The sequence below is a fragment of the Homo sapiens genome, chromosome 9 (assembly GCF_000001405.40).
Source record: "Homo sapiens chromosome 9, GRCh38.p14 Primary Assembly".
NCBI lineage: Eukaryota > Metazoa > Chordata > Mammalia > Primates > Hominidae > Homo > Homo sapiens.
Window position 1 is genome coordinate 5,063,855 of NC_000009.12, and position 12,781 is coordinate 5,076,635.

The window sequence follows — 12,781 nt, forward strand, 5'->3', positions numbered from 1 at the left end:
ATATGTATTAAGATACAATCAGGCCGGGCATGGTGACTCACGCGTGTAATCCCAGCACTTTGGGAGGCCAAGGCGGGCGGATCATTAGGTCAGGAATTTGAGACCAGCCTGGCCAACATGTTGAAACTCTGTCTCTACTAAAAATACAAAAATTAGCCGGGCGTCTTGGCGTGTGCCTGTAATCCCAGCTTTTTGGGAGACTGAGACAGGAGAATCGCTTGAACCCAGGAGGCAGAAGTTGCAGTGAGCCAAGATCGCGCCATTGCACTCCAGCCTGGGCGACAGAGCAAGACTCTGACTGGGCGGGGGCCACAAAAAAATCATAGCATAGCTACATATCCTAACATTTTAGTTTGTAGCATGAATACTTTAGCAGTATGTAATTGGTATGTAGGGCTGATGCCGTGGCTCACGCCTGTAACCCCAACACTTTGGGAGACTGAGGTGGGTGGATCACTTGAGGTCAGGAGTTGGAGACCAGCCTGGCCAACATGGCGAGAACCTGTCTTTACTAAAAATACAAAAATTAGCTGGGCATGGCGGCATATGCCTGTAATCCCAGCTACTCATGAGGGTGAGGTGGGTGGATCGCTTGAGCCTGGGAGGTGGAGGTTGCAGTGAGCCAAGATTGTGCCAGTGCACTTCAGCCTGGGCGATGGAGCAAGACTCTCAAAAAAAAAAAAAAAGAAAAAAGGAAATGCTCATGATTTCTAATGTCAACTTTTATATCATATTAAATAGATTTCTAGCTGAGATAACTGGTATATTAGTCTAAGAAGGACATTGGAAAATAAAGTAAAATGATGGCTATAGAGTGAACTATAACTGGGAAGGTATGATAATCTGTATTTAGGAGGATCTTAAATATCAGACATGAGAATTTGTAATTCATATTGAGTACTGAGCCATAAAAGATATGAGCAATTTAGAAGAAAATTGTATTTAACATGGAATGAAGAAAATTTTCAATATTTAACATGGAGTTGACTTTCTAAAAGGTGCTATTTCTTTTTCTTTTCTCTGCTTAGGAAATTGAACTTAGCTCATTAAGGGAAGCTTTGTCTTTCGTGTCATTAATTGATGGATATTATAGATTAACTGCAGATGCACATCATTACCTCTGTAAAGAAGTAGCACCTCCAGCCGTGCTTGAAAATATACAAAGCAACTGTCATGGCCCAATTTCGTGAGTAATACAGACTTAAAAGTAAATTTTTAGAAAAGTAAATGCTGTATTTACAAAGAAGATTTAACAGAGTGATACATGTATGTTTAGAAAAAAATAATTTGACAAGTTTTTTTTAAACAAAAGGCTATTTGCAATCAGATTACATAATAATTAGAATTATTTAGTGTATAATTTACCATCTGTATCCCAATCTATAATATTTATAAGTTGTACAAGTTTAACATTTGTTAATCATGCCTATGTGTGATTCACTCCTGCATGTTACTAAAAAAGAAAGATCTCCAATTTATGTTTTATTAATTTTAAAATACTGCAAGGAAGCCACAGTGCAAAATTTGAAAATTCTTTATGTTTGGATAGTCCATCTCCTTCTACTGAAAGGTTCAAACACAAGATATATATGATGTCCACATTTCTAGACTAGTGCTATGTAGAACTTCCTGCAGCGATGAAAATATTCTATATCTGTGCTGTGTAACACAGCAGCCACTAGCTACATGTGGCTGTTTAGCATTTGAGATGTGGCTAATGCAACCGAGGAACTGAATTTTAATTTAATTTTAATTTCTTTACATTTAAATAGCTACATGTGGCTAGTAACTATCACATTGGCTCACACAGTTGTAGATCCTTACTTTAATACTGGGTAAAGCTAGCTATCATGCATAACATCTATTTAGCTTAAGTCCTAATGATCTCTTAGCTAGGATGTGGTTTATGTTGACAACAGATTTGAATAACTCGAGCAAAGGGAAAATCTGGGATCATGAGCATATTATGTTCTTTGCATTTAACCTACCCCTAAATATTTGAGAAAATACATCTTGGGTAATATAAAGAGTTGATTTAGTCTATGCTTAATATTTATTTAGTAATGAATATTGTTGCTATGAAAAAGTTGTACTACTTGAACTTTATGTCTGTAATTTACATGTTTAATATTTTTAAAACTCCTTGCCTTTATTCATGTATCCATAAATTCATTCAAACATTCTTTTATTTATATTTACTGAGTAACTACTATGTGCAAGCATTGGTTTGTATATTAGAAATATGGTGATAAGTGAAACAGAATGATTCTTTCTTTTGTATAGATTATATTTTGCTTTTCTTTCAGGGTGTGCAGCTTCAGAAAACATAAAAAATTTTAAAAACCAGTAGTCTTTGTCAGTTGCCATGGTTCTTCTCTTAGACTTTGTTATCGTACTGAATAATAAAATCATGCATTCAGATTTTTATGTCAGTAACTGCTATGGTAGTAGAGATATAAGTATTTTCTGATATATAATCTTTATAGTTAAATGAAGGTTTCTGAGAGTATGGTTTTAAAAATATTAACTTTGTAATCAGCAGGCAGAAAAATCAAATGAACAAATTGTTCTTTGTGATTTTGTCTTATAAATACCTTTTATTGGTTTTTAAAGCTATATAATTGTCCCTTGAAGTGGTTTGAACTTACTGCAAAATAGCTTGGTACTTTGATTTTTTCCTTTGAAAGATTATTGCTAAACATATAAAGTAGAGGAGACAATTCTGACAGTTTTAGATTTGACTTTTGATTGTTTTAGATGACACTTGGTCATAATATTATGGTGCTTGATATATTATTCAAATTGCTTCTTCTTTACCTTTAGGATGGATTTTGCCATTAGTAAACTGAAGAAAGCAGGTAATCAGACTGGACTGTATGTACTTCGATGCAGTCCTAAGGACTTTAATAAATATTTTTTGACTTTTGCTGTCGAGGTTAGTATGTCACACTTATTAGTGGTAACACTTTATTTAGTTCATTTAATTTCCTCTCCATATTTATTTACCATATTTCCTTTTTAATACTGAGAATTATAGCTTTGGATATGATAACTAGTATAATGCTTAATTTCCTCAGAGATTCTGTACAAATAAACAAGTTATAATTCCCAGGGTTTATATAAAAATATAAAATAATTTATAATGTCTATCTTTTTATTTTGCATTTATTTTATTTTCTGATGTTTTGGTGTTACCAGTGTGTTAAAAGGTATTTCATCAAGTGTCTTGATGTTTCTTTGTTTGCAAAACTGGAAATCTTTGCCACATCATGTAGAACAAAATAAATCGGAAGCAAATTTTCTGTTTATTAACAGTGGTTGCAGAATTAGAGGAAACAGAATTAGAGAAAACTAGGTCAATAACAAACAAATAGAAACATTAAAGCACTTTTAACTGATGATTTTCTAATATTTTTAAGAATAGTGGTCTACAATGCATGTTTCAACGGTAAAACTGCAATGAAACCCCACTGTTAATACAGATCATTTTGGATCTCATCTATGATTATATACTATCACTTATGAGGCAATTTCATGGTATAAATCCTAAGAAACTATAGAAGCTTGCAAATTTATCTTGCTTTTTTAAAACAGAGAAAAATAAGAACTTTGTTATTCAATTATTTTAATTTTTATAAAATGCAACTTATATTTGGCATATGTAGAGGGTAGATTACTTACAGAAGGGAGGTTATGCCATCACTTTACCTTTGTGTAAAACTGGTAATCTATCCTAATTTCAAAGTATCCTGTTACTATAACAGATAATAGTACATTATATTCAAGTATGAATTCAAAAAAATATATATATATATTTTATGTTCACTGTATGTGCCAAGCCTAATATGAGAGCTATGTATTATAGAGTTTATGCTACAGCCCTACCTTCAGGAAACTTATCTACTGGACAAACAAAAATTTTCAAATATACAAAAAATTCTAAATCGAACATTGTAATTATCTAGCATAGGCAAATATAGACAGTAACAGACAGGTTTACAATTATTAAGAAAGGGCAGCCAGGTGTGGTGGCTCACACCTGTAATACCAGCACTTTAGGAGGCCAAGGCGGGTGGATCACGAGGTCAAGAGATTGAGACCATCCTGGCCAATGTGGTGAAATGGTGAAACCCTGTCTCTACCAAAATTACAAAAATTAGCTGGGCATGGTGGTGCGCACCTGTAGTCCCAGCTACTCGGGAGGCTGAGGTAGGAGAAGCGCTTGAACCCGGGAGGTGGAGGTTGCAGTGAGTCAAGATTGTGCCACTGCACTCCAGCCTGGCGACAGAGCGAGACACGGTCTCAAAAAAAAACAACAACAAAAAAAAAAAAAAACAAGAAAGGTTATTTGGCATAGGAAGAACCTGATTGACCTTGAGGTATTGGTAGATTTTATATAAATGTTTCTGAGTAGAATGAATATGTTTATAAAATGCACCTTAAAAATAGGTGAACAAGTTCATAATATAGTGCATAAGACAAATATTTAAAAACTGCAAAATATTAAAAATGTAATATTAAAGATAATTATACAAATACAATGGTGGTGCAGTGGAATGGCTGTATGTTCACCTTTGCTTGTGCAAAGAGGTGAGCATTAGAGAGGACCTCTTAGAAACAGTGGTACTTGAACTGAGTTTTGATGAATGAATAAAGGTTCATTGCTCAGAAGAAGTGGGTATACATTCTTAGGTAGAAAGATAGCATGAAGAATTATCAAGGCATGAAGCAGCATGGCATTTGCTTGAAATGATTTAAGTCATTTAATATGGCTGGAACGTAGGTTGTATGTTGGCAGTGGCAGGAGCTGAGATTGGAGATGGAGGCAGAAACCAGCTCATGGAAGGCTCTATATGCTACATTTGTTTTAGGCTTTATCTTATAAATGATGGAAAACTATTAAGGATGGTATTGTTGCTATTAATTATCATTGCCTTCTTACATGCTTTTTCATAAAATCAACTTTTAAACCACTTTTGTAGGCTGAGAAATTGTAAATTGCCCTTTTGAGGAACTAAGTACTTCTATCACTATACTGGCACTACATCGGATTCATGGTTCAAATGTTTATTCTGTTGCTTGTTCTTGTGATATCATTTTGTCAGAATAATCACTGTGATGTCCATTGTGACTATCCCTCCCTTTCTTTATAATTAAACTTATACAGCGAGAAAATGTCATTGAATATAAACACTGTTTGATTACAAAAAATGAGAATGAAGAGTACAACCTCAGTGGGACAAAGAAGAACTTCAGCAGTCTTAAAGATCTTTTGAATTGTTACCAGATGGAAACTGTTCGCTCAGACAATATAATTTTCCAGTTTACTAAATGCTGTCCCCCAAAGCCAAAAGGTAAGATAATTTTCTAGTTATTTTTAAATTACTGGTCATGGATTGTTTATGTGGCGTGAAGTATCTTCAGTACATTGATTTCAAAGGATATATGAAAGAAGCAGCTCTAAAAGTTAATTTTATCTTATTCTATTGTACAAGCATCATCAAATAAGATTGTTTACTTTGGTTTTGGTGGTCTAGAAGTGACTTGAAGTTCAATTATTCTAAAATGAGATTTTAAACATAATGTGTGGTATGATGTCATTTATTGAACTGGAAGATCTCACTACTAAATTCTTATGTTGTTTTAAGTAAAAATTTTCATATACTTCGAGGATTTTAATTTCTGTATTTTAAAAATAAAGACAGTAAAGTTGGAAATTCCTTGAAATAATGAGCCTTACTATTAAAAATTATTAAAATTCCTGAAAAATTGTATGAGTTAAGGAAGTTACTATAATTTTGAATTAATGAAATAACTGGCAGGAATACATCAAAATCCAAATTACATTAGTTAAGGAAGTGATTATAATTTTGAATGTATGAAGTAACTAAGAAGAAATATCAAAGTTCAATGAGTTGACCCCTAAAATAATTTTCTATTATAAAAAAAGAACAATTAGGAGTTATTAAGCATTTCTTATACGTAGAACACATTTCATTTTACTCCTCTTTGGAGCAATTCATACTTTCAGTGTATTTTGAAGTGATATATATGTATTTTATTTTTTCAGATAAATCAAACCTTCTAGTCTTCAGAACGAATGGTGTTTCTGATGTACCAACCTCACCAACATTACAGAGGCCTACTCATATGAACCAAATGGTGTTTCACAAAATCAGAAATGAAGATTTGATATTTGTAAGTCATTAGATACTCATTACTGTCTTTTTTGTCCTTTTAAAACAACATCTGTTTTCTTGATTTACATTCATGTGACATTGGAATTATTTTGTTATATACAAATTTAGTTGTGATTTAAATATTTTTCTTATGAAAAATATGCCAACCTTGTGTTAGATGTTAGCAAAATTAATTATCTTAATTATCCTAAGAATGGAATCTTAATTTTCTTTTTGGAAATTTAAAAATGATTCTTCACAAATCTCAAATTAAAAATTAAAAATCTACAAAGACCTATATCGCAACTCCCAAGTTCTCAAGAAAGTAAGGGAAATTCAAGGGGTTAAAAATAAAGAAGAAACTGAGAAAAAAATCCAGCCATCTCTCAGTGTCCATGAGGGATTGGTTCCAGGACTACCCATGGATACCAAAATCTGAGGATACTTAAGTGGAACCTGTGGATATGAAAAGTTGGCCCTCTATATACATGGGTTTTGCATCCTATGAACACTGTATTTCTTTTTTTAAATAACTAATTATTTTTTAAAATTATTTATTTATTTATTAGAGCAGGACTTGCTGTGTCACCCAGGCTGGAATGCAGAAATACTATATTTTCCAACTGAGTTTCCTTGCAGATGCAGAACCCGCCCTGCCAGTACAGAGGGCCCACTGGATTTATTGAAAAAAACCCACATATAAATGGACCTGTGCAGTCCAAACCCATGCTGTTCAAGGGTCAACTGTAGTACATAAGATCTGATAATCTGGCAGTCAGGTGGTGAGGGTTGATGATCAGCCACATTTATCAAGGGGGTTAAGATTTAAGAGCAATTTAAAAGGGCCAGGTCTCAGACCTGTGCAAGGCCACGAGTTAAAAGTGAGACTATCCCTGAGTAAAACCAGGACACTTAAGTAAATACATCCTCAGTAAAACAATATATAGAATGTGAAAAATTCACCCACTAGCAAGCAGAGAAGAAAAGGAATATTGTCATTTTTAACTGCGCTTCTGGTGAGGAAAAGGAGTCTCTCCTAAGAATTTGTCATCATAAGCTTTGGAATTTGGGCTTCATTATACTACCTACATAGACTGAGAAATCCTAAATTAAAAGTGGTACTCTCCTAATATTGTGTGGTGCTTGGAAGAAACAAAAAAATCTTTTCGGAACCACATACTCTTAACCTAGGCAACCCATAATTCCCACAGATAAAAGCATTGCAAACACAAGCTTTTAATAGAAAATTTAGAAACATACAAGGAAATAATGCAGGATTAATTAAGAGTCAGTAGACCAACAAACATCAAAATTAGAACTCCAGGAACTTCCTATCACAGAATTTTCAGATACAGACTATAAAATACATATACATGTTTAAAGATAGAAAAGGAATTGAAACCACGGAGAAATAACAAGACATTGTTTTAACAAACAAAAAAGATGTCAGGAAAAAGGCATAGAAATGATAAATATCCTCATTGACATTAAAACAGAATATACAGGATGAAAAGTAAATTACTTATAGCTGAAGAGAGATGTAGTGAACCTCAAGACAGATCTGAAGAAATTAAGAATGCAGCAGTTAGGGAGAAAGAAATGGATTATATGAAAGAGGGATTAAGTGGCATGGAAGGCAAAATGAGAAAGACCCAACTCATATCTGAGCTCTATAAGGAGACAATAGATAGAATTAGCCAGAATGGTAAAGACAAGCATCTTCATGTGAGTAACAGGAAACAGAGTGGCCAGGTAACTTGACTAACATTACAAATCTAATAAATAGTAGACCTTGGATTTGAACACAAGCAGCCTTACTGCAGAGTGCAGGCTTTCAACAATTACTTTGTAAAGATATGCAAGAAATACTAGTATTAGTAGTAATAGCTGATACTTAATGCACATTTACTATGTGTCATGGACTGTGCTAAGTGCTTTTATGTATTTATTCACTTATTGATCATAACAATCCTATGGGAAAATAGTTATTATTCTCATTTTTCAGATGAAGAAACCACGACAGCTGCAGCACAGAGATTAAATAGCCTGTACAAGGTCATACAAGTGGTAATAAGAGAAAGTCAGATATTCTGCCTCTGCAGACCACATTCTCTAGTGTGCTAGTAGGAAAGGCAAAGAAAATGATTCCCATGTAAGCAAATGTAGGTAAACACTGACTCTATTTTTAAAAAGTGACAATTATAGCCCATTCAGGAGATTTCAAAACCGAGTAGAGCCAAAATACACTTAATTCATTAATCCTTGTTTTCTGTCTCTTATTACTATTTAAGGAAGCAGAATAAAAGCATTAATTTGGAGTCTTAAATCTGGATTTAGATTCTAAGGAAAATACTTGCTTATGGATTTAAAAAAATTCTTCCTCATTGAATGTATTTTCTTGTTCCTACTTCGTTCTCCATCTTTACTCATTCTTTTCTTTTACCTTTTTCTCTTGAAGAATGAAAGCCTTGGCCAAGGCACTTTTACAAAGATTTTTAAAGGCGTACGAAGAGAAGTAGGAGACTACGGTCAACTGCATGAAACAGAAGTTCTTTTAAAAGTTCTGGATAAAGCACACAGAAACTATTCAGAGGTGTGTATGTTCTTTATATTGTTCATGTAGTTTATGCTGTTTAAAGATGTGCTCTCATATGCATACAACGTACTCATGTGTGCAGCTTTTCAAAATTGTAATTTTTAAATGTGTCAAGGACTTTTCTGAGGATACATTCTTGTGGGGCTATAGAATTACAGGGTTTGAAAATTACCGGATTAAAAAAATTAATTCCAAACTAATTATGTTTAGCATTATGTTAGGAGTGTTATTACATTTCTGCATATACTGTGGCCTTGATTTTCAAACTTGGCTCCCCAGAGCTTTATGGGTTACACAGAGGCTCCTCTACAATTACATTTATTTGAAAAAAAAACAAAAAACCAAGTTTCAAAGGCACTGTACTAAGGAACATGCTTAGTGAAATCTAGATGCCTCTGGGCATCATCCAGAGATGCTAGCTGGCAGACCCCGTGGCCAGTTGCCAGAGCTCTGAACATAGCAAGATATGATACTTACAATATCTTAAAGGGTGTTGGTGTTAGAAGATGATGTGAAAAGTTCAAGCCAAAGAGTTGTTCTAATCCAGAATACCACAGTATTGGTGATTGTGATTCACTAATCATACCCAGGGGTTCTAGTCACAGTTTAGTTGAATTAGAGTGATGTTAAAACTATGCTAGTATCCTGACACAGATGTCGTGATATTTTATCTGCACATTCTTAATTCTTTAGCAAGTGTTATTTAAAGGCTACATCCATCTACCTCAGTTTCCTATATCTATCTCTGACATCTACCTCTAGTTGTACTTCTGTCCTCTATTTCAGGTGTTATGGGTCAAGCCTGTTTGACTGGCATTATTCATGATTCCTGTACCACTCTTGCTCTCTCTCACTTTGATCTCCATATTCCAGGCTTACACAGGGGTTTCCTCAGAACGTTGATGGCAGTTGCAGGTCCATATAAAGGGACCAAAGCACATTGTATCCTCATCTATAGTCATGCTGAAAGTAGGAGAAAGTGCATCTTTATTATGGCAGAGAGAATTTTCTGAACTATTTATGGACAACAGTCAAACAACAATTCTTTGTACTTTTTTTTTTCCTTAGTCTTTCTTTGAAGCAGCAAGTATGATGAGCAAGCTTTCTCACAAGCATTTGGTTTTAAATTATGGAGTATGTGTCTGTGGAGACGAGAGTAAGTAAAACTACAGGCTTTCTAATGCCTTTCTCAGAGCATCTGTTTTTGTTTATATAGAAAATTCAGTTTCAGGATCACAGCTAGGTGTCAGTGTAAACTATAATTTAACAGGAGTTAAGTATTTTTGAAACTGAAAACACTGTAGGACTATTCAGTTATATCTTGTGAAAAAGGAAAGCAATGAAGTTAAAAGTAGAAGGTTACAATGCCCAAACAATAGAGTATTATAGTAAACAAATGTCTATAAAACATTTTGTGTTCATGATAGCAAAAGAGATTATGGCAGGTTCAACATAACATTGGAATAACTGGCCTTTTCAGTACAAACTTATCTGGAATTATGAAGACAAAGCATATAAATGATACACTTAATTTTTAATGGAACTGACAGAAATGATTATGTTGATATGATACTAGATATATTTTTTGGCTAAATTTAGGTGTTCACAGAAACTACTAAAAGTATAAATCGTACCCCATGCTTTAATACTATACAGGCATGCCTCATTTTATTGCACCTTGCTTTATTGTGCTTCTTAGATATTGTATTTTTTACATATTGAAGGTTTACGGCAACCCAGTGTCTAGCAACTCTGTCAGCAACATTTTCCCAACAGCATGTGCTCATTTCATGTCTCTGTGTCATATTTTGGTAATTCTAGCAACATTTCAAACTTTAAAAAAATCATATGGTGATCTGTGATCAGTAATCTTTAATGCTAGTATTGTAATTATTCTGGGGTGTCCCAAACAGAGAGAATATAAGAAGGCAAACTTCATAGATGAATGCAGTGTGTGCTCTGACTGCTCCATCAATGAGCCATTCCTCTGTCTCTCTCCCTCTCCTGGGGCCTCCCTATTCCCTGAGACAACAATATTAAAATTAGGCCATTTAATAATCACACAATGGTCTTTAAATGTTCAAGTGAAAGGAAGATTCACCCGTCTCTCACTTTAAATGGAAAGCTAGAAATGAAGCAGCAAACGCTGATGTGGAAGCTGCAGCAGTTATCCAGAAGATCTAGCAAAGACCATTGATGAAGATGGCTTAGAGAGGAAGGCATGCTGAAAGCCAAGACAAGCTGAAAGCTAGGCCTCTTGCACTAAAAAGGCAAGTTATGAATCCAAAGGAAAAGTCCTTGAAGGAAACTGAAAGTGCTACTCCTGTGAGCACATAAATTACAAGAAAGTGAAACAGTCTTATTGATGATACAGAGAAAGTTCTAGATAGAAGATCAAACCAGTCACAACATTCCCTTGAGCCAAAGCCCAATCTAGAGCAAGATCTTAATGCTCTTAAATTCTATGAAGGCTGAGAGAGGTGAGGAAGCTGCAGAAGAAAAGTTGGAAGCTAGCAGAGGTTGGTTCATGAGGTTTAAGAAAAGAAGCCATGTGCACAGCATAAGTGCAAGGTGAAGCAGCAAATGCTGATGTGGAAGCTACAGCAAGTTATCCAGAAGATCTAGCAAGGACCATTGATGAAGATGGTGACACTAACAAACAGATTTTCAAATGTAAACAAAACAGCCTTCTGTTGGAAGAATATGCCATCTAGGACTTCCACAGCTAGAGAGGAGAAGTCAGTGCTTGCCTTCAAAGCTTCGAAGGACAGGCTGACCCTCTTGCTAAGGGCCAATGCCATTGGTGATTTGAAATTCAAACCAGCGCTCATTTACCATTCCAAAAATCCCAGGGCTCTGCGAATTATGCTAAGTCTACTCTGCCTGTGCTCTATACATGGAACAAGAAAGCCTAGATGACAGCACATCTGTTTATAGCATGGTTTATTGACTATTTTAAGCCCATTGTTGAGACCTGCTCAGAAAAAAAGATTGCTTTCAAAGTATTACTGATCATTGACAATGCACCTGGTCACCCAAGAGCTCTGATGGAGATGTACAAGGATATTCATGTTATTTTCAGGCCTGGTGACACAACATCCATTCTGTAGCCCATGGATCAAGGAGTTATTTCAACTTTCAAGTCTTATTATCTAAGAAATACATTTTGTAAGGCTAAGCTGCCATAGATAGTGATTCCTCTGGTGGATCTGGGTAAAGTAAGTAGAAAAACTTATGGAAAGGATTCACCATTCTAGATGCCAGGAATAGCATTCATGGTTCATGGAAGGAGATCAAAATGGCAGCATTAATAGGAATTTGGAAAAAGTTCATTCTAACCCTCCTGGATGACTTTGAGGGATATGGTACTTTAATGAAGGAAGTCACTGCAGAGATGGTGGAAACAGAGAACTAAGAAGTGGAGCTTGAAGATGTGACTCAATTGCTACAATCTCACGATAAGCCCTGAAAGAAGGAGGAGTTGCTTCTTATGGATAAGCAGAGAAAGTGGTTTCTTAAGATGGAATCTACTCCTAGTGATGATGCTGTGAACATTGTGAAATGACAACAAAGGGTTTGGAATTTTACATAAACTTGATTGATCAAGCAGTTGCAGGGTTTGAGAGGACTGACCCTGTAAAGTTCTACTGTGGGTAGAAGGCTATCAAACAGCATTGCATGCTACAGAGAAATCTTTCATGAAAGGAAGAGTCTGCAGTGAATTTCATTGTTGTCTTATTTTAAGAAACTGCCACAGCTACCTGAACTTTAAGCAGCCACCACCATGATCAGTCAGCAGCGATTAACATCAAGCAAAAAGATTACAACTTTCTGAAGGCTCAGATTATCATTAGCACCTTTTTTGGCAATAAAGTATTTTTAAAAAGATATATTCTTTGTTTTTTTTAAGATATAACGCTGTTGCACACTAAATAGACTCCATTATAGTGTATATACAAGTTTTATATGCATTGGGATACCAAGAAATTCATGACTTGCTTTATTA

General features: G+C 34.8%; 2 protein-coding genes across 10 annotated transcripts in view; one reads left to right on the top strand and one right to left on the bottom strand.

Moving 5' to 3' along the window:
* JAK2 (Janus kinase 2) overlaps positions 1-12,781 on the top strand; it is a 145,559-nt gene that overhangs the window by 79,465 nt on the left and 53,313 nt on the right. For all 9 annotated transcript variants that reach the window (NR_169763.1, NR_169764.1, NM_001322194.2 and 6 more), the window contains 6 exons: positions 1,029-1,186; positions 2,824-2,935; positions 5,168-5,354; positions 6,071-6,198; positions 8,638-8,772; positions 9,844-9,931. Coding sequence is in view for 7 of the 9 variants with exons in the window: in NM_001322194.2 (NP_001309123.1) it covers positions 1,029-1,186; positions 2,824-2,935; positions 5,168-5,354; positions 6,071-6,198; positions 8,638-8,772; positions 9,844-9,931 (808 nt within the window). In the remaining 2 variants the exon portion in view is untranslated. The remainder of the gene's footprint in view (positions 1-1,028; positions 1,187-2,823; positions 2,936-5,167; positions 5,355-6,070; positions 6,199-8,637; positions 8,773-9,843; positions 9,932-12,781) is intronic.
* The window catches only part of INSL6 (insulin like 6), a 193,664-nt gene that overhangs the window by 71,879 nt on the left and 109,004 nt on the right, over positions 1-12,781 (bottom strand). The window lies entirely within an intron of this gene.